This window comes from Homo sapiens, chromosome X (genome assembly GCF_000001405.40).
Source record: "Homo sapiens chromosome X, GRCh38.p14 Primary Assembly".
NCBI classification, from domain to species: domain Eukaryota; kingdom Metazoa; phylum Chordata; class Mammalia; order Primates; family Hominidae; genus Homo; species Homo sapiens.
The window spans coordinates 108,428,583-108,451,687 of record NC_000023.11 but is presented as its reverse complement, the minus strand read 5'-3'; the positions used below and the strand labels follow the sequence as shown (position 1 = coordinate 108,451,687).

The window sequence follows — 23,105 nt, the reverse complement described above, 5'->3', positions numbered from 1 at the left end:
CCATCAAAAAGTGGGTGAAGGACATGAACAGACACTTCTCAAAAGAAGACATTTATGCAGCCAAAAAACACATGAAAAAATGCTCATCATCACTGGCCATCAGAGAAATGCAAATCAAAACCACAATGAGATACCATCTCACACCAGTTAGAATGGCAATCATTAAAAAGTCAGAAAACAGCAGGTGCTGGAGAGGATGTGGAGAAATACGAACACTTTTACACTGTTGGTGGGACTGTAAACTAGTTCAACCATTGTAGAAGACAGTGTGGCGATTCCTCAGGGTTCTAGAACTAGAAATACCATTTGACTCAGCCATCCCATTACTGGGTATATACCCAAAGGACTATAAATCATGCTGCTATAAAGACACATGCACACGTATGTTTATTGCAGCACTATTCACAATAGCAAAGACTTGGAACCAACCCAAATGTCCAACAATGATAGACTGGATTAAGAAAATGTGGCACATATACACCATGGAATACTATGCAGCCATAAAAAAGGATGAGTTCCTGTCCTTTGTAGGGACATGGATGAAATTGGAAATCATCATTCTCAGTAAACTATCGCAAAGACAAAAAATCAAACACCGCATGTTCTCACTCATAGGTGGGAATTGAACAATGAGAACACATGGACACAGGAAGGGGAACATCACACTCTGGGGACTGTTGAGGGGTGGGGGGAGTGGGGAGGGATAGCATTAGGAGATATACCTAATGCTAAATGATGAGTTAATGGGTGCAGCACACCAGCATGGCACATGTATGTAACTAACCTGCACATTGTGCACATGTACCCTAAAACTTAAAGTATAATAATAATAAAATAAAAATAAAAAATAAAAATAAAAAAACTAGCTTTTTTTATTCAATTACATTAAACTCGATCTATCTTGCCCTTTGAAGGGATCTTTTCCCTATGCATGATTTTGTAACACTGTGTATTAGTCATTTGGAAAACATTAGTTCACTGACCTATGCAGAGCTTCCAAATGTTAACACAATTTATTGTACAATATAAAAAATACACATTAATATAATTACCAGCTTCATTAGAAAAGTCTAAGATTTGGGAAGCTGTCACACTCTTGGTGTCAGGTTCAAGTTTTCCAAAATTCTCATTCTTACTTGAAAAGCTCAAATTTTTCATTGGCCACAAATACTGCCAGTAGTTTTCCCTGAAGTGGTAGGCTAATTCTACTCATTTTCAAGAAAATGCCCGCCAAATACCCAAGTATAAATAACCACAGTTTGTCTCAGTTGTTTTTCAAGTAAAAATGAATTTTGGCTGGGCTTGGTGGCTCATGCCTGTAATCCCAGCTCTTTGGGGGGCTGAAGCAGGAGGACCTCTTGAGGCCAGGAGTTCAAGACCAGCTGGGGCAACACAGCAAGACCCTGTATCTAAAACAAACAAAAAAGCGTTCCATGCAAAAATCAACTGGTTCAGCTCGTAACTCAAACAATTGCACAAGTGCTTTTCCTAGAAACAACTATCTTACTTCAGCGTACATAAGTGCTTTGTGTATACTTCCAATTTTGTCATATGTAATATTAAAAAGACATACACTCAAGGGTCAAAATTCAATTAATATAAATTAATGCTACATTGAGGACCCTCTGAGGTAAAACTGGCTTTCTCCCCCCTGAGAGTATGACGAATACAACTACTAAGAAAATGTGGTACACTGCACCAGTAATTTTACTCACCATCAGTGCAAATGTCAACATAGTGAGAAAAGTAAACATTCTTCGTATTTGCTATGATACATGTTTATGTCCCCTCCAAAAAAATTCATATGTTTTAAAATTATAATCTTCAAGGTGATGGCATTAGGAGGTGGGGCCTTTGGGAGATGATTATGTCACGGGGAGAAGCCCTCATGAATGAGATTAGTGCCCTTGTAAAAGACGCTCCAGAGAAAAAAACGCCTTTCCCCTTTCACCATGTGAGGTCACAGAGAGACCATAACATCTGTGAACCAGAAAGAGGGCCCTCACCAGACACTGAATCTTAGGTTTGATCTGCCTTGATCTTAGGCTTCTCAGCTTTCAGAACAATGAGATATAATTTGTTGTTTATATGCCACCCAGCCTGAGGTATTTTGTTATGGCAGCCCAAACAGACTAAGATAATATTACTGTTAAAATATTCCTCATGTTCTCTAATAGGATTTCAGGAACCGTAGGGGTCCACAGACCACAGTTTGAGAACTACTGACCTAAAAGATCACTAATGTCCCTCCAGCTCTAAAATGCCTATGAACAGTCAACAACTTTCATTTGTAGAACTATACAAAACATTCGTTTCCCTAGATAAGTAATATATCACATTTAACAAATACACCAGTTTCTTACAAATCTTTTGTATCAACTGATCCTGAGGACAAACTCATGAGGTTGTGAAATAGAAACTGTTTCTTCCTTCCCCCCAAAACATCATGAGTTTATTTACATATTTTCCACCCTCCAACTTTTCTAGGTAGCAATGTGTTTTGGCCAGACGCAGGGCAGGGAGAGGTGGTTGTGTGAGTGACTGGACTAACTCTACGTTTATGTCCGTATACCACTTGCCAATGTACTGGTGTAGGCATATACATATAACACGATTTCAACCAATGATAAATAAGAGGTGTTTTCAGGGTGGTGCTGTGGGACTCCTTAGAAAGTTTCCATTGCTAGTAAAAAGAGATACACATGAATAGTTCATACTCTCTTTCTAGTGGGCATTGCAGTGTCTGCATGTGATTCCTGGAACTGCAGCAGCCATCTTGAGAGTATGAGGGGCACTAATATTAGAGGGCAAGTTGATAGGCAGAGTATGGCAGTACAGAAAAATGGAACAAACTCTGGCCCTTACTAGTGTCATTATTTGGCTGAATTAATTAACTTTGGAGATAATCAACCTCCAAACTTCTTGTTATGTGAGCTAAAAATTGTTTTTATTGTTTAAGACAGATAGTGTTTTTTAGCACTTGCAAGAAAAACAACCTATCTAATATAAACAGACACCACCATGACTATCTTCCACATACAGAAACATTTTACTACATCAATTAAATTGTGAGAATATGGACAGAGAAGGACCAGTCCTCCTTTAGCAAGCTTTTGGAGGGCTTGTAAACACAGAATATACTAAATAATTCATCAGTCATGTCCCACTCCTAATACCACTGCCCCTCTCAAAGTTCCATATCTCTTTCAGTACTCAATTAATGTCATATACACTGTAAGAAATTTTGAAAGCAAACCAGCCAGTTCTCCTATATACAGGAAAAATATTATTTGATTGAATTATAGCATGATACAAATTCCTTAACAGAATTTCTTGAAGTCTTATTTTATTACTGTCAAAAACACAATTCCATTAACCAGAATAGAACTTGCTTGTAAATGGTACTTACATTCTCTACAAGTTAGTAAGCATCTGACATTTATAACAGATTCATTAAAATAAAAAAGTTAAAAATTAAATTTAGCAAAAGCCTGTTTCTTTTATAACATTTGCCTTTGACTGTCTTTAATTAATGAAAAGCAAGGGATTTAAGGTTCCCATTTCAACAGGGTAGCAAGTACCATCATAGACTGCCCTTTTGGTTAAAGGCCAGCAGAAGCTGCTAAAGGCACAAAGTGTGGGTGGACCTGGACAGACTATGGAGGTAAATAAGTTCAAGTTGCATAAAATGAGAATCTGGTTTGTTAAAATGAAAGAAGCCTATGTGTCACATATCACACTGAAGGTGTTTCTCTAAAATCCTCAAGAATTACTGCTATTTAAAAACAAATCTTTATAATAAAGATTTAGCTAAGTGTCTGGGTGGTTCATTTATAATGTTAATTAGAAAGAATACATTTTCAAAAATTACTTCTGTTCCGTAGCTGCTATCATCACAAGGGGATGAGATGATGGAATGATTACATTTGTAAAAGAAAATCATTAGAGACTAAGACCAAATCAGCCAACCAACTGGCAATCAATTGAGCATCAATTCCATAGTCACTGTAGTAGATAGGAAAGAAAAATTAAGTCTGTCTCACAGGCACTCTTATACACTACTGATAGGAGTATAATTGGTAAAACCATTCTGGAAAGTAATTTGGCAAGAGCAGATCCCTATCACTCAGGAGCTTAAAGTTCAGCTATTCAAATGCCACCTGGAAAAACCACAATGCATAACAGTTTGTGACTTTGCAGAGAAATAAATTTCAATTGCGCAAGCTATAGGGCTGGCAAACAGGCAATGATGTCATTTGGCTACTGAGGAAATGTGAGGAGAAGGTAAAGTGAGTATGTTACAAATTGGGAGTGGTACAAAATGGATGGGGGACCTCACATTCCGTATGTACTAACCAGTTTAATTTTCTAAAAAGAGGGAATTGAGGCTGTGATATTATCTCCCCAAAGTGGAAAAAAAAGATTAAGAATTAATGAAGGGAAGTTTCTGAGTATCACTAAGGGAGAGATGAAAGCTAGGGACAATACTAGGTAAAGACACAGCCATTTAAGTGTAAGCCTGAAAGACAGCTACAGTGCAGGGGCTGGTGAGAGGGGTGGGGAAAGTGGTCAGAAGGGGCTCTCATTTCAGATGCATATGCACAAAACTCTTCTGGGGGAGGGAGAATGTCAATGAATTTGAGTATGTTATACCACTGTTATAGCTGGGAAGAGATCAGTAGGAGAGGTATTTGTGGAGGGCAAGCTCCACCTTCTGCCCAGGGGAGAAAAGTAGGAGGATATATTGTGCACAAAATTAAAATTTAAGCCCTTAAGGATGAACGGCCTAGGCAGTTATGGTAAAGACTTATTAAAAGATGAGCCAATGGAGAGTCTTTCTTCAGAATCATCTTAAGTGACCAGTCACAGAAGGGTTTACAGAAAGGGCAATGAGAATTATTCAACTTTTCATCATGACTTTACTTTTCTCTATTATCTACCATGTATGAAATAGGGATTGAGGAGAATCTCATGAGCAGGTTCTAGAGCCTTGGTTTAAATCTTGGCCCAATCATGTATCAACTGCACGACCTTTGGCAAGTTATTTAACCAATGTGGGCTTCTGATTCCTTGTATATAAAAGTGGAAATAACATTAGCTACCTAACAGGATATAACATAGTAACCACTAAAAAAGTTACCATAATTTCTCTGTTGATATAGCCTTTTTAAATATCAGGGTCTACTGTATGTATCAAAGACTTGAAAAATACTTATAGCGTTTAACCCACTAATTCCCCATGAAGGCGGCTGTAGCAATAAAATAATAAAAATATGGAATAAGAAATGTTCATGGCAGCACTTCTTACGATGGCTAACAAATCTTGACATTTTAAAATATACTCTACAAAAGTGAACAGGTAAATAAATTGGAGTGTGTATAAATACAAGTTGTATGTAATCATTTTAAAATAACGTTTTAAAACTAAGAATGTTAACATGGGAAACTGCTTGATAAGTGATCAAACAGTAAGAAATAAAACTATATGTAGAATAAGCCCAACTTACTTTTTTATTTTAACCAACTTTTTTTTTAGTTATTAGCTAGTGTTTATTTAATCAGGTTTTTTAGTATTTTAAAAATTCAGTATCTTCATGAAATGAAAACTTTACCATAGCAATTGAAACATGAATTGTGCTTAGAGTTTCGTGATTCACATCCAAACCTTAACATATCATTTACAATTCAAAAATTGTACTCTTACAAGTCATTGTTCTATGCCAAATTTATTTTTAAAAACATATTATATATATAGGAAAGAAAATAGTAAAAACAACAATAATCAAAACACACACCATTATTCTGTGCTCAGCCAGCACAGTTCTGGCCTGCTGGTAGAACTGTGGACATATTTTTATTTTCTTTATGTTTTTCAAGTTTCCAACATTGAGCAGCTGTTACTTTTGTTACCATATAAAATCAACATATGAATTGGTTGAATGAACAAATATATAGTTATTGCTTCAAAAGGGACTTTAATCAAATAAAAAGAACAGATAAAATGTCATAAAACAAAATGCCTATAAGACCAAATACATGCAGATACGAAACTGGGAGAGGCTAAATATTACAAATGTTCAAAGAAAGGTACAATCAGTATTTGATACTATAATAAGGGAAAGTTTCACAGGACTATTTAGCTATTCTCACCAGTATGTAAACACCATGAAGGGAAGAACCTTGTCTTTATTTGGTTTTAGCCATAGTGTCTAGCACAAAATGATTTTGTAGGCAGTACACCTCCATGAATAGAAATAGAACAGCATAAATAGAATTTTTGAGTACTTAGAAGTTGCTGAATAAATATCTGCTGAATAAATGTAAACATTTGCTGGAATTGAGCAAAGACTTGAATCCACAAAATTCTAATCAAGATGGAGGGCCAAAATGTGTATGCAGTGCTCACGGGATTGTAGGAAAGCTTACCTAGGCTAGACTGGAGGGAGTATATTATAAACTGTAATGAAAAATAAGGTTGGATAAGGGAAAAGATCATGATAGGCCTTGAAAATCAGACAGGAGATTTGAGAGTTGATGTAGTAAGAAATGGTAAGTCAATAAATATAATGACAATAATGAAATCTAAAATTGATTTAACATTTACTATGGTGTCAAATACTATATGTTTTACATAACTTTTCTCATTTCATCCTAAAAAAAAAAATATGTGAGATAGGTGCTACGGCCTTCCTTTTGCCAATGAGGAAATTAAGTCTCAAAGATTACTATTTTGCTGAAAGTTACACATCTACCAGTCAGATTCCATGTCTGACTTCAGAGGCCAACCTCTTGAAGACTCTGTATAAGACCTCTACAAAGTCCACAAAACGTGTGAAGAGAAATACCAGAAGAGAATGAGATCATGTATATTTATTCTAGGGTCTTGGACTGGAATCAGATGTATCATTATGAATCCATGATTTTGACATATATAAAGAGGGACTTCAAGAAATCGATATAGAAACAGGTATGTGTGCATATATACATATATTTCCTAGTTCTGCCTGCTGAGAGGGCCTAGAGGCAATGACACCTCAGTAGCAATAAGCATGCCAAGCACCCAGATCTTGGCTTCTACATACCATTCTCCAATAAAAAGAATCAGAGCTCCTTGGAGAAAAGATTCTGATTCCAGAGTTGGGGCAAGGAAATTAAAAAATGAGTCTGGAGGCCAGGTGCGGTGGCTCACGCCTGTAATCCCAGCACTTTGGGAGGCCAAGGCGGGTGGATCACGAGGTCAGGAGTTCGAGACCATCCTGGCTAACATGGTGAAACCCCGTCTCTACTAAAAATGCAAAAAATTAGCCCGGCATGGTGGCTGGCACCTGTAGTCCCAGCTACTTGGGAGGCTGAGGCAGGAGAATGGTGTGAACCCGGGAGGCAGAGCTTGCAGTGAGCCGAGATCATCGCGCCACTGCACTCTAGCCTGGGTGACAGAGCAAGACTCCATCTCAAAAAAAAAAAGAAAAAAAAAAGAGTCTGGAACATCTGTGGTGCCAGAAAGTAAGAGGGTGCTTAAAAAATGATGGAGACATGTTGAAAGGACACAGGAGCCAATTTGAAGGGGCTCCTGTTGGCCAAATCTGGGTTTCAGCAAAAACAAAAAGTAGTAAGAGCATAATTCATTATAACCTATAGAATAAAACAAATATTCATTAAGTCCATACTGCTATAAACAGCTGAATAAATATATACATTAAGCGTAAAGAGAAAGTTTTTTATTACAGTATAATTCAATCAATTAATAAATGTAAAAATGTTGAAAATTGAAATCAATGTCTGGCAAATGTCACAACAATAATTTATTCAAGCCAGAATCATCAACATATGCTAAAATTAGTGGGCAAATATATGATGAGAAACAGGATATTTACATTGTCTCACAATATTGCCCTGCATAGTCTCACTTTGTAATTACAAAAGAAAAAATAGTGACTTTATAGTGAATAAACCTAGCAGACACCATCTTAACCAAGCTTTCAGGGATGTAAAGAGTCTCATGTCTTACATGTATAGACATCAAAAGGTAAATAAAAACACATGAAAAAATACAAACTCTTACACTGCCATGGGACAGATACATATATAGATATATGCATAAGACTAAAGATATATATCTATATAGTTTGTGAATAAAATTGGATATGATAGGTAGGCAAATTAGTACAAAAAAAGAACAAAACTAAATTAAGCATGTTAAGTAAAGTGTGTTACCATACACACATACCCGGTTGTTTCACAATAGACATGCTCCTGAAAAGTTTGGTGGACTTAAAATTAATGCAGTAACTGAGTAATTAAATAATCATAAGGCAAATCTTCCTTCAAAACAAATCATCTGTCACAAATTATAGTAGTTATATAAGTTGAAATGTTTACATATTGTGATTACATAAAATCATAAAACCTTCAACAGCATTTGCTTTTAGATTGCTTTTAAATAATCTCACTCTAGATACAGATACAGAGGTCAAACTCTGATCTTTTTATTCTAGGCCCAAAGCTATTTCCATTACACCATGCTGCTTCTCCTAACATCAGCAGGAAGACATGTAACCCCCATTATCATTTCCATTTCACCTCCTGTGTCCAAAAAAAGTGGCAGAGATCCAAATACTTTACACACCAGTAAATCTCTATAGACCACATACAAAGTAGGCAGTATAGGACAGTCATTAAGGGCAAAGATTCTAGAGTCAAACTGCCTGGATTCAAATTTTCCAGCTTCACAAGTTACTGCCTACATGACTGGATTTCTGGGAATGTATTCAACGTCTGTAATTTGTAGTTTTCTCATCTGTAAAGTGAGGATAATAACGGTATATGTCTCATAAGTCTGTTCTGAAGATTAAATATGATAATATGTATTATCATATTAGCACAGTGCCTGGCACATAGTAAACACTCATTATGTTATCTACATTAATAATGATGACAATGATGACAAGTTTTTCCTATGGAGCAATATACTTCATAGAGGATGAAGTGTTTCATGGCTACAAACAACACTCCTACCCTTGATAAATTCGTGCCGCTGGTCACAAGGAAGATAGTACGTTTAAAGTAGACAAAAATATCCAATCTACTGCACAGAAAACAACTTACTAACTATGTAAAATAAAACTAACATAATTTTACATACTACCCACATCCACAAATCTAAGTGCATATCCCACTGACAGTGAATCAGTACAGGTATAATTACCTTCACATAAAAATGTTATTTCCATCACTAAAAATTATATTTCCAACTTAAAACTGTCTTCTCTTATTACTAACCTTTTGGCATAGAGGTTACTTTATTCCACCTAATGAATGCTCTACCTAAAAAAAAGATCTTCCACATATTTGTGATGTACCAATTTGGCATGATTTCAGAGATAAAGAAATCATTTACCTATAAAAGAGTAAAGCACTTTAAATAGCAACACTTTTTTGATATAAAAACCCCAATACTAAACTACTCCAGTCAAAGACTAGCCCTACCACCAACCAGTTTTACTCTAGAAATGGTCACCGATATCTCCAGCACAAGTATGCAGAGCCGATATCATTCATATTTTTGAGCCTATTAAAATATTTATGTATGAACCAGGAAAAACAAACCCTTGGTTTTAATAGAGGCACAATATCCTAATGATAGGAAAAGGGGATATAAAATGTTCTTTAAAAATTATATAGGAGGAAAAGGGAAAGAGCTGTAATGACTTCATGAATACTCATTAGTTTAAGAATCCAAGAAAACAAGCTTGCTCTCAAGTTTTGTCAATAAAAAGAAACCTCATTGTTAACATAAATTGATTTAATATTAATTGATGTGTAGTGTTGCTATACATACCTGTATAGTTGTCATCTGGTGCAAATTTGTTAAAAGTAACATCAAAAAACATATATATATTTAATCAAACATCTACAAAATCTTTGTCCCTGGGCCAAATGCCAGAAACAGAGGGCACCAAGAAGATGTTTTTAAAATGAACTATTTTCAACAGCACAATTGCAGTTTTATCCAAGTCTGTAGCCCTATTGACTGGCTAAACCTTACCCCCATTAAGATGCTCTGCATCAAAAAAGCATTTTTAAATCATTTGTCTACTTTGATGGAAGAAAATTATGGCATGCATAGTAAAAATATTTGATATGCATGGTTTTTCAGCAAATTTGCTATTATAATTATGTTGTGCTCAGAGTAATATGAAAGTTAGTTTTCATACACCGGGTACACACCTTCAGAAGGATAGAAAGAGGACATGTGATTTGAGGCATGCTAAGTGCTATAGGGAAGCTAGACAGCTAACTTAAAAGTGGACCCAGATGAGCTGTAACATAGCAGCTGCTTACAAAGAATTGACGGTCACTCAACCATGTGAAGGCCTAAGCCATGATCTCATATTAAACAGTTTTTAAAACTATCCATAATGATCACTCAAATAAATTTAAATAATTTGTCACACACTTATTCTTCAGAGGTTATATGAAATTAAAGATGATGGGCTTCAGGCTGGAGAACATTTTCTCTCACAAAGCCATTCATTTTTTTAACATCTGGCCCTCATCCCCAATAGGACAGTGGGTGGGACTACCCAGATACCCTTCTAAGAGATATACTGAGGTTTGAATTCTACATTCCTAAAACTGAATGGAGCTTTTTGCTGCTATTTCACATGTACCTCCTCCCCCACTTTCCTTTAAACTGGAACACTGATTCTCCTTTGAAAAAGGAGTATTTTCCTTTGAATAGGTGATGGGCAAATTCTCAATTTGTTCAGATGCCTTGGTAGGTTTAAAAAAAAGTAAACAAACAAAAAAACCCATAATTTAGAAAAAACAACAACAACAAAAAGACGCAAAAGACCTGAAGCCTGAGACTTTACCTCACTCTTCTTGGTATGTTGCCTTAGCATTTCATTTGTAACAAGGATGTCAAAAGGGAAAAGGAGGTCAGTGGCTTGAATGACCTGAGGTGGGGGTAGGTTCCTGTTGCTTAAGGAAAGAGCAAAGGGGACGAACTTCACTGAGGCGCTAAAAACACTTTGATGGAAGCTGGATTTTCGAAGAGCCAAAATATTAAACTACAGACAAAATTCAAAGAGTGGGCTGGGTACAAGTAGTGAAAAGGTTAGTCGCCAGGCAGGGAAACACCCGACGGTGGAGGGAGGGGAGGAAAAGTTTTAAATACCCACCACAGCCTAGTGAGCCTTTAATTAGCGTCCCCCACTTCTGACTTTGCTCTTGCCCCCGGAGGAGCTAGCTGCAGGGAAGCAAGCAGCCCTATTTTTAAGCACTTAAACCTCTCCGTTGGACTTCAGAAGGCTTGAGTTACCGGTGTTGCAAATAACGTTTCTTCCTAAACATGAGAAAGCAAATTTGAATTCCCTAGTCAACGCCAAAAGGAAGATAAAGGGACCCCCCCCCCAAAAAAAAGGTAATTTCAGCGTGAAAGAGCGGTGATGGGCGCGGGGGAGGGGAGGAAGGACTTACCGCAGCCTCTGCAGGCTGCCCCCAAAGACTCAGGGCCAGTAAGAACAAGCCGGCAGCCAGGCTGACTCCACGCAGTTTCATTCTTCTCCGGCTCCCGCAGCTCCTTCAGCACCCGCACGAAATTCCCGGCTGGCTCTAACCAATTGACATAATCTTGAGGGTTTATATGGAGAGAGCTAGAGCCGGAGAGGGACAGTGAGGCTTGGGTGAAGAGAAAGAAGCTTTTTAAGAGTGGAAGAAAAAAAAAAGAAGAAGAAGAAGGAGCTACTCTTCCTTCCCCCCTCCCCTCCCCAAAGCCGGTCTCTCAGGAGAACTTTTCCCTTCTGTCCAGACTTGCAAACTTTTTCTTCACTCAATTCCTACAGATCTACTTTCCTCCCTCTCTTCCCCGTGCAAGGCCCCCCTCCTCACCAGCACAAGGGAATTTGAGTATCACTCCGCCACAGTTTTAGACTGCACCGGCAACCTGCGAGGGAGTGACGCTCAGTTATTTGGGGGAGGGAAACTTCCAGACTAGTTGACTGAGCACCATGAGTCCAACCGGGAAGCTTTTCTATTCGTTCATTTGCACCTTCCGTTGATACTACTTTTCTAGGCTCAGTTCCAATCTCATTGGTGTGCGTACCAAAGCCAATTACAAATAGATCTAAACTGGGACTATTTTTTTAGCGGATGGATCTCAGAGGGGCCGTGCTTTTTATTGTTACTCATTAGAAACAAATTTTGGTCGGTGCTCCCTGGGCTGCTGGTCTTCTTTACCTTCCAGCTGCTCACAGAACAGAGAGTTTCTACATACAAGCAGAAGATGTGAAAATATTGGGAATAAATAAAGTATATGCTTATAAACAAGTAAGAAAATAAGTATATGTGCGTGAATACTTTATGTGTGTTATATACGTATAAGATCTGGGAGCATTCAGCAGGTATTGGTAATTATTCTATGGTATTATGTTATTATAATACAGCTATATCTCTGTTTAGCTGCATTGAATCCTATAATTAATGCCTCCTATATTGAGCTAATGTAAAAGGTATTGACTCTCATTGTAGTTGTGTTTCAGAAAGATTTAGGGCAGGGAATTAAATAAATTTAGTGCAGTGTTTCTTAGAATTAATATAAACACTTAATTGGAAATATTTAAATAGAGTTGATGGCAGCTGAATCGATATCTCCCATATAAAGACTTGAATGTTCCTTTGATAATTCTGATATATAGATTTTTTTTAAAGTAACAAAAGAACTAGAAAATACTTTCTGCGGACTCCTTGGAGAATCTTCAAGAATTTGATGAAGAATTCTTCACAACATTTCTATCTTCCTAGAATTAACCACTTTAGAGTCTTTCAAGGTTTTGGATCTATTTCACGAGGGCCCACTCATCCTTAGGTTCTGCTTAGCTCAGAGTGGATTTACAACTCCAGAAACTGTCTCCCCTTCCCAATAGCCTAGTGTACTATCAATTTGAATCAGTGTTGTATGCATTTGGGCATGTGTGCAAGGGCACTTTCGGGCCCATCTGTCTTATGTGGGAATAGTATGCCTATGTCTCTTTATGTGTAACCTAACAGTAAAGTTGAAAGTATATGATGCACAGTTGCTTAGGTCTTAGCGTATAGGTCTCTAAGGGGCTGTGTGTGAAGCTGTGGAGATACTTAGGGCTGTTGTGTGGAAAGGTGCCTGAAAGTGAGAAAGACTACCGGCTGCCCAAGGTAGGGGGGATGATTGACAGCAGACAGCCCCGCCCCTTTCCCCTCCATTCTTTCCTCTCCTGCTGCATGGAACTATCTCCTGAGTGCTGCAAGTTGTAACGGGCACCGCTGAGCCTGTTTCCCTTTGGAGCACTTCTTATCTAGAAGCAGTGTTTAGTTTCTTCCAAACTGGGCCACTTCGTCCACCTACTCTGTTCTGAGTAAGGAAACAGCCTCCAAGCATCAGCAGAGCCCAGATGAGCACGGGCCGCGGAGCCGCTTAGCAGTCTCCCGGGACCCAGCTCCGGAGGAGCCGCAAGCATGCACCCTGGGTGAGCTGTTGCTGCCCCGAGCTCCCCTCCTCTTTCTTACTTCGGGTTACTTTGCCAGGCCGGGACTATACTGGTACTTCTGTCACTGCAGAGAAATTGGGAGCAGGCATCCAAAAGGGTTCGGGGGGCGACAGGCAGACGCACGACCCCGAAGCCTAGAGAGCCCATTACTCACCCTCCCTCCCATTTCAGGTTGTGGCTGCTCCTGGTTACGTTGTGCCTGACCGAGGAACTGGCAGCAGCGGTGAGTCTCTTCTCACGACCCTTTTCCGTCCCCCTCCTTTGACCCTCTAACCATCCCCATCTCTAGTATTTATGTTAGGGGGTTGCAGAGAGTTTCACCACGAGACGGAGTCCACACCACTCCCCTTTCTAATGGGAGTTAATGAGATTCTTGAGAGGAATAGCACAGTGTCAAGTCAGTGTTTTTGGGACCAAGATATCTTCCAAAACTTCGTAACGGGTTGGGAAAATAAAAGTGGAAGACACAAGATGCACACATTTCTGAGCCTCTTCCCCAGACGACTTAAGATGACTAGCATCAATCTCCACGGCAGAAGAAACATAATTTTCCCTGGTCTTCAAGAACTTGAATTGGCACACTAGTTTGAGAGTGGGAGGAGAGCACAAGGAGTGGAACTTCAAAGTGCCGCAGATGCTATGGAAATGAAACTTAAGTACATGCTTAGAGTCGTTTGACAGTACCAGGTGACAACATCTGGATTCTTTAACTACCTGAATTGAACTGATACCACTAGGTGATGTTCAATTTCTGTCTGATGTGTCGTGTTACTCGTTTCTGCATCACCAGAAAGTTAAAAGATAAAGCTGTTATAATAGAAAAAAAAATCAAAGTTAACATTTCATAGGCTGTTTAGATGTCATCTATCAAATCAACTAGGGACTGCAGGTAAAGAAATTTCTGAAGACTTTTGGTCAAGAAAAGTTTAATGGGTCCCAGAAAGTATTGAAATCTCCAGTGGAATTACTAGGATAATTTCACAAAGATGGAGTGACCCAAATAATCAAAGATGCTGCAGTTTTCCAGTTTCACTAGCTACTTAAGCTGGCAGAAATAAAAACTGTTGAGTTTGAATACGAAGTTGTTCAATTGTTGAGTACTATTTCACTGCTGTATTTTTTTTAAAAATTCTTAATGATACCCAAAGCCATTCCCTATATAGATGAGAGATGAATATATATTCCAAATATTTATCTTGTGGGTTTTGATCATTTTAACTGATTGGCTCTGCTTTTTAATATTTTAAATATTTTTAAATACTATTATAGGGCCATACGTAATTCAACCTAATAAATCACCCAATGTGTTTATGAAAAAATGGATTATTTTATCTTGGCATATGATGTCTTTAAGAAAATACCAGAGTGAAGCTATTTTTCTTGTAAAGAGAGGAAGATGCCAGAAAACTTGAATACCAACATCTTGTGACCCCTTAACTCAATATCAGTTCCTATGTAAGTAAATTCTGGACTTCGTAAGCAAAGATATTGATCTAAGACTCTGTGTACTTCTCCATCTTATTCCTTCAATATACAAGTTTAGTTATGTATTACCTTGAGGCTCAATAACTACATTAATTGAAAATGCCAAGATTTGATTAGTTAACAATTCATCCAGGAATCTTGCCACTTGTAAAAGTGTCATGCATGGGCAGAATACCCTCAAGCAAAACTTTTATTTTTAGACTCTGGCTGATTTTATTCAGTGTACTTTTGGGAAAAACACTACAGATCATTCCAGATAGCTGAAGACTTCACAAACACTGCATCCTGTCACTTAATACCTTTAAAAACCACTTTAATGCTTGCAATTCTTTCAAGTATTGAAATGAGTCTCCAAAATTAAGCACTGCTTTGGTGTATGAGTTTTAGACTCTGTCTCATTGTTTTATGTCACCTGCTATGTCAGTATGATTGACCATGGTAAGTCTAAAATTGACCTTGAGTTCCACAGATAATACTTTATTTTTTGACTTATTTAAGTACACAGCCACTTCCTTCACTTGTTGTTTACTTATGCAAAATATCTTTGACATTGTAAAGCTACTTTTTTTCAGTTTTGGGGAAAATGACAAATATAAAGACAGTCACAGAATAAGTTATCAGAAGATGACTTTTCTGAAGGGTTGTTTTGTTTTTCTTTTACACTCTTTGCACGGGATTCTTATCTATACGGGCTGGTTCTCGTATTCTACACTCAATTCCAGTTTATCCTCATGAGTTTGTGTGTTTTTCACCCTTTGGATTGTTTTAAACATTTAAATTCTCTGTGCCATGTTTGACTAATATTAACGAAAATAGCTATTAAAAATAGATTGGCAGGAACTATGTTGTGTTTTGCTATGAGAAAGTCTCTTTACTGTGAGAATTAAGCTGCCAATAATATTGGCAAGCATTTAAAGATTGGGTCATTTAGGGGCTTTTGGGCTCTTTCTTTTCCTGAGTTTACAAAGCACATCTATATAAAGTAAAGGAAAACTAAATGTTAAAATCCATGTTAAAGAATGAGCTTCCATTAAATTTACTTTAAAGGAGTAATGATCTTCATTCAGGTGAAATATTTGCACAATTTATCTGCATAAAATAGAATCTAGGATCTCAGAACATCCATGTCTTTGGCTGTTAGGCGCCTAACTATCTAAGGGGCTGTGCTAGGCCACGCACAGCATGCAAAGATTTATTTAAACATAGTTCCTAACTCTCTAGGAATTTGCTTTCTCAGACAATGGTGGTCATTATGTTCCTTAGAAGATAGGATGCTTAATGATAAGTTATTATCTACATGTACTTGCATCGTGTTAGCGAAATGTCTAGAAAGATACAAATCTCACCATCAGCCAATATATCTAGGAAAAAACATATATCCCGAAGTAGTCAGATCCTTATGTTTTCTTCACACTTTGCCCCCTCCAAATGAGCTTTCAGGAAAAGGTCTAATACAATCAAGCATACTTAAAGTCAAAAGCCTAGGGGGATACTTATTTGGGTTGGGAGGAGGGTAAGGAGAGAAAACATTTCTATTGTTCCTTCTGCAGAGAGCATAGGTAAAATGCCTTTAGCTGCACTCAAATCAAGGTCTGATTGAAATATCAACTTCTTTCTTTAAAGTTGTAACATGCCCAGGTTGGTCCTTTCTGCTGTGATTTTCAGTCGTATAGTAGTCATCAATATATGAATATTATGTTAAGGGAGTTCAGCGATGGAGACGATCTCTTCCAGTTCTAAAGACCAAGAGGAATATTTGCATTATCTGGGGCTGTGTCTCTATAAATCCTTAAAGTACTCTTCTACTTTACCTGCTAGCAAATATCCTATATCAGCTAGCTATGAAAAATCACAACATATAATATACGTGTGTGTATGTGTGTATATAAATATATAATATATATATATATATATCTTGGGATGACTAAGGATACTGATAGAAATGTATGAGTACACTATTAAGTAAATCATCAAATGACTGTAAATAGATAATCCATAGATGATAATATATTTACATTATTTATAGGTGAAATTCAAATATATTTTAAGATAGAGGAGGGGATAATAGATGTTATTATCTAAAGTGTTACTAAAGAAGCAAATATATAACCATTTCAAAAATTGTTTTATTATACATTTTAATGATTGTATTTCAGTGTAATCAGTTTCCATTGTAATCCTATGTATTTTATTGTATACTTCTAAAACTAGCAGGGTGCTGTGGTGTGTGCCTGTAGTCCCAGCTACTTAGGAGGAGGCTGAGGCAGGAGGATTGCTTGAGAACAGAAGTTTGAGGCTGTGACGCACCATCATCGTGCCTGTGAATAGCCACTGTACTCCACCCTGGGCAGCAGAGTGAAACCCTGTCTCAAAAGGAAAAAAAAAATAGTATTCTAAAAAGGAGTCCATAGGCTTCACTAGACTGCCAAACTATGGCATGAAAAAAGTACCCCTAGTTTAAGAAAATTGGTTTTACAAAAACAGTCATTTTCTAATGTTTGTTCAGGCATGAGGGGAATTGTGTTGACTCTAAGTGCCAACAATCTTTTAATTTTTAAGCATAGTTTGGAGTCTTCAATAAATATGCTCCTATATTCTGTAAGCTCATAATCAAGCCATATGACTGGAGTAAAGTATACTGTTTCCCTTATTATCTCATTAATAGAAAAAACTGATTGACCTCAATTATTAATATTGGTTTTTATTTGCCTGAATTATATGGATTATTTCATAATTTTACCACAGGTGCAATTATGGTACACCACAGCCTCAAGCAATCCACCTGCCTCAGCCTCCTGAGTAGCTGGGACTATAGGCACACACCACAGCTCCCTGTTAGAATAATCTTAAAAGTATGGCTGGGTGCAGTGGCTCATGCCTGTAATCCCAGCAGTTTGGGAGGCCGAGGTAGGTGGATTGCTTGAGCTCATGAGTTCAAGACCAGCCTAGGCAACATAGTGAAACTCCGTCTCTACAAAAAATACAAAAATTAGCTGGGCATGGTGGTGCACGCCTATAGTCCTATCTACTGGGAGGCTGAGGTGGGAGGATGGCTTGAGCCCAGGAGTTGGAGGTTGCAGGTGAGCTGAGATCATGCCACTGCACTACAGCCTGAGCAATAGAGCTAGACCTTGTCAAAAAAAAAAAGAGAAAAAGAAAAGAAAAAGAAAGAAAAAACAGTATACAGTAATATACTTGGAGTATAGACTTGTCTTATACTGTGTAGGTGACAAGACATACACATAGAAAAAGAACATCGTGGGATAACATCAGGCTATATTAAACTATCAAGTCCTTTATAGCTGCCTGAATGTCCCAGTGAGGCAGATCATAGGGCTTTTACTTGGTTTAAAGTCTAATTAAATGTAAATAGAAGACCTGATAAGCATGCTCAAGGGAAAATAGTAATGGGAAAATTAGCTAAGAGCAATTATCAACTCTCTTTCTTTAATCTATCCCTTTCCTAGGGTTTCTATTTTTCTTCTATAAACAATATTGAATTCTCCTCCGTTATAACAATGAATTTAAACAAAATCACTTCATTTACTTTAATAACTCTAACCTCTTCAATTGCATTACCCCCAAGTTCCTGGGTATTGTCTAGTCTTCATCACCAACCACTTACCCTTCAACCTATTATAGTCTCAACTGAGTCTACTCCAGGCAAACAGCCCTCTTTCAAGCTACTAATGGCTGCCTAATTACCAAACCCAATGGCTTATTTGCAGTCCCCATTCTATCTGACTTCACTGTGTTATCTGACATTTCCCAGTTACTCTGATACTTCTTTATCCCCTTGTTTTTTTTTAATTTTGTTTTGTTTTGTTTTTTTGTTTTTTTGTTTGAGACAGAGTCTCACTATGTCACCCAGGCTGGAGTGCAGTGGCACAGTCTTGGCTCACTGCAACCTCCACCTCCCAGGTTCAAGTGATTCTCCTGCCTCAGCCTCCCGAGTAGCTGGGACTACAGGTGCCCGCCATCACACCCGGCTAATTTTTGTATTTTGAGTAGAGACGGGGTTTCACCATGTTAGCCAGTCTGGTCTTGAACTCCTGACCTCAGGTGATCCACCCGCCTCGGCCTCCCAAAGTGCTGGGATTACAGGCGTGAGCCACCGCACCCGGCCTCCTCTTGTTTTTTAAGACATTATACCTCACTAGGGAGCTGGTAATAATCCTGAAATAAATAATCCTGAATCCCATAATTCTAAATGTTGAAATCCTGAAAGATCAAAATCCCAAAAATATTCTGGAAAAAGTAATTTTAAAAATTATTTAAAAGATATTTACTTACATTTTTAAAAGGATAGTTGTTTGAGAAACATAAAACACAACAGAACATTCCAAAGGTCACTTTACATAATAAAATAGACAATAATAACATACATAGTTTTGTAAGGATAAACACTTAGTATATACTAGTGACAGTCACACTTGTATGACAGTTATAAGTAGTTGAACTGTATTCACAAAGAAATAGGTCAAAAGGAAAATGTATAAAGACATATCACTATGGTTGGTAATTGTGTGCATCCAGCTTTATAACTGTAGTCATCTGAAATACCTTGATGAACAACAAAAGTCTTTTGACAAGATAGATAAAAAACCACCATAGGTGACCACCGTATATGCAGTCATCCAAAGAGCCAAGATCTTGAGAAATTTTATCTTTCACAAATGCGGGTGTACAAAAAGACATCTCTTCATTCACTGAGGAGGTTTTCACATTTTTACATACACACACAATGCTTACACAGAAAGTCAACATTGTGATAATACACGTTCATGGAATCAAATTTCTGATGTCCAACGCAACAGAAGAAAAGTCTGCCCCAGCTCTCAGAGAGAGACCAATTTGCATTCTCTGTTTGTTCTCTCCCAGCCTCTAGCCTATGGGATGGTGCCAGCCCACATTGAGGGCAGATCTTCCCTAGCTTATCCACTGGGACTCATACATGAATCTCCTTTGGAAACACCCTCACAGACACACCTAAAATAATACATTACCGGGTTTCTAGGTATTCCTTAATCCAGTCCAATTGAACCTAAAATTAAGTCCGCAAGTCCACCCCTTGTCAACTTGGCACCCGTTATGCATCTTCTTAAACCATACTTAATTTCTAAATAAAGACAATAACAAGGAAATAGTTCCACTTCACATGATGCAACTAACATGGCACAACCATCCCATCTGCGACCAAAAACACACTTCCCCAGAATTCAGTTTTCAGGATTTCAACATTCGGGATTTTAATCTTTCAGTATTGTGATTTTCAGGATTTTAGATGTTAAAGATTTTAGACTCTAGGGATTTAGACTTTAGGGATTTTGATCTTTGGGATTTCAACATTTGGGATTATAGCATTCAGGATTGTGTCTTTTGGGATTATGACACAAACTTGCCTCACTAGTTCTCCTTATACTTCTCTGATCTTTTTATTTATGCTATTAATTCAACAAATATTTATTGAGCAACAGCTATATTCCAGATAGTATGCCAGGCCCTAGTGACACAGTGGTGAACAAGTTAGCCATGAACTTTGCTCTTATGGAATTTATAATCTTTATCAGTCTCTTGTCCTAAAATGGTGGATTTTTTCCAAAACTTAATTCTTTACTGTCTTCTTGCCTCAATGGTTTTAACTATGCCTCCTATATAGTGATGATTATCAAATTTATATCCCCAGCCAAGACATCTCTTTTGAGCTCTAAATCTATGTTTCCATTTGCCTACTAACCCCTTGTACCTGTCTCTCAATTAGTTGATATATACAAAACACTTAAAACAGTGCCTGGAGTTTAGTATAGGCACTCAGCCAAAGCCAGCTATTATTATTTTTATTGCCCCAAATACAGTATAGTTAAAGGTGAAATTGTTTTCTTCTCCTTCCCATGACACTCCAACCAGCTGTGATCTTTTTTATTTTTGTTAAATGTCATCACCATCCACCAAGTTTCAGCAAGAAGCTACAGAAGCAGCCATCAGCTTTCATTATTTCCAAAATTCTCACCAAATTTTGATAATTTTACCAAAAATCTGTAGAATCTGGCTTTTCCATTCATATTCTGTTGGTTTCAAACTTCATACATCAGTAGCCTCCTGACTGGTTTTTCTACCTCCTGACTCCATCCTTATCTCTACATTGCCACTAGAGTTATTTTACTAACAACAAACCCAATTATGGTATCTTCTGATTTAATGCCTTTATTGGTTTCTTCTTTCTTCCAGGATAAAATGCATACTACTTGGTTTGGCACATTTAAGGGCTTTCATTTTCTGACCCAACTGCTTTTCTAGCCTCATGTCTGTGTGTTTCTTCCTACCAGTCCTTCTTTCCAAACTCATGGTGTATATTACACTTCATTCAGACTGAACTTCTCACCATTCCCAAACCACTTTATATTCTTTCACATCTCTTTGCCCCTGGATATGCAGTCCCTCTCTCTGGAATATCCTTCTGTATTGTTTCTACCTTCTTTTCTATCTAATGAACTCCTACTCAATCCTTAATACCCAGACCAAATATAATTTTTTCTATGAAACAGTTCCAGACCTCTTCAGAATGAATTTATTCTTCCTTCTCCTGTGCTTCCAAGGAGCTTTGGGCCTCTTTGGTAGCACATCCATGTGGTGGTAAGATTCCTATGCTTATATGACTACGTTACATTCTTCAACCTTGTACTTAGGATGTCCAGGATACTGCCAGGCTGAGCATAGGTGATCAAGAGATGACTTTCAAATGAGTAAACATCTCCTAATGGCTCGCAACAAACTGCCTTCTCCCTGTCTATCTTAAAAATTACTAATGTTAACTCCAATAACAATTGAATTGATGGAAAAATATCAACCCTGTTCAATAGTATAATGTTTAAGAGAAAGCACTCTAGAATCAGACTTTTGTCTAAATGTTGCCTCTGCCCTCTGACACTTCCTAGCTGTGTGACTTAGAGTAACTCGTTTTACCTTTCTGAGATTTAATTTTCTTTTTTCTTTTTGAGTGTTCAATGAAATTTTTATTGAGATAATTGTAGATTCACATGCAGTTGTAAAAAATAGTACAGAGAGATCCTATGTACGCTTATCCAGTTTTCCCCTAGTTGTAATACTATAATATAATATCACAACCCAGATACTGACATTGATAACATTCACTGATCTTATTTCATTTTCCTCGTACTTATTTGTATGTGTATTTTGTTCTATACAATGTCCTCACAGGTGTAGGTTGGGATTTCCATTGCCACAGTCAAGATACCAAAGTCAACAAGGATCCCTCATGCTGTCCTTTTATAACCACATCCATATTCCTCCTCCAACAACATATATTAAGTTTTTACAAATGTATACAGTTTTATAACTGTCTCCACAATTGTAATAAAAACACTTATTTCCCAGAAAGTTCCCTTACACTTTTTGCAGTCAATTCCCTCCTCCTCATTCTGCACGCTAGGCAACCACTGATCTGCTTCCTATTATTGTAGTTTTGCCTTTTCTAGAATTTCATGTAAATGTAATCAGCATAGCACTTTTGAGATTTATCCATGTTGTTATAAGTATCAGTAGTTCATTCCTTTTATTGCTGAGTAATAAAAGGAATGGATATATCACATGTTAATTCTCTCTTCATCAGTCCATAGACTTTTAAGTTGTTTACAGTTCTTAATTATCATGAGCAAAGCTATGAATATTCAAGTCCTCATGTGAACATGTTTTCATTTCTCTTGGGTAGGTATCCAGGAGTATGATTGCTATATGGTAAGCACATATTTCATTTTGGATAGTTTCTAAGTCTATAGCTTCATATTCACTGATTTTTCCTTCTTCAGAGTCTAATCTGATATTAACACCACCTGTGTGTTTTTTTTCATTTCAGATATTATATTTTTCTTTTCTAGAAATTCCTTTTGGATTTTAAATTTTACAAACTTCCATTCTTCTCCTCATCCTGGTCACATTTTCCTCTACCTTCCTGAACCCATGAATCTTTTTTTTTAAAGTTTTATTTTAGGTTCGGGGGTCATATGTGCAGATTTGTTACATAGGTAAACTCGTGTCACAGGAGTTTGTTGTACAGATTATTTCATCACCCCAGTACTA

General features: G+C 37.4%; 2 protein-coding genes across 19 annotated transcripts in view; one reads left to right on the top strand and one right to left on the bottom strand.

Annotated features, from left to right (window-relative positions):
• COL4A5 (collagen type IV alpha 5 chain) overlaps positions 1 to 11,850 on the bottom strand; it is a 257,708-nt gene extending 245,858 nt beyond the window's left edge. For all 4 annotated transcript variants that reach the window (XM_047441810.1, NM_033380.3, NM_000495.5 and 1 more), the window contains exon 1: positions 11,482 to 11,850. Coding sequence is in view for 3 of the 4 variants with exons in the window: in NM_033380.3 (NP_203699.1) it covers positions 11,482 to 11,562 (81 nt within the window). In the remaining variant the exon portion in view is untranslated. The remainder of the gene's footprint in view (positions 1 to 11,481) is intronic.
• The window catches only part of COL4A6 (collagen type IV alpha 6 chain), a 283,845-nt gene continuing 272,969 nt past the window's right edge, over positions 12,230 to 23,105 (top strand). For 8 of the 15 annotated variants that reach the window (XR_001755650.2, XM_047441813.1, NM_001847.4 and 5 more), the window contains exons 1-2: positions 12,230 to 12,330; positions 13,695 to 13,746. Coding sequence is in view for 14 of the 15 variants with exons in the window: in XM_047441813.1 (XP_047297769.1) it covers positions 12,317 to 12,330; positions 13,695 to 13,746 (66 nt within the window). In the remaining variant the exon portion in view is untranslated. Of the gene's footprint in view, positions 12,331 to 13,265; positions 13,503 to 13,694; positions 13,747 to 23,105 lie in introns of those variants that run through there. The other 7 variants (NM_001287760.2, NM_001287759.2, NM_033641.4 and 4 more) reach the window with 1 other exon arrangement.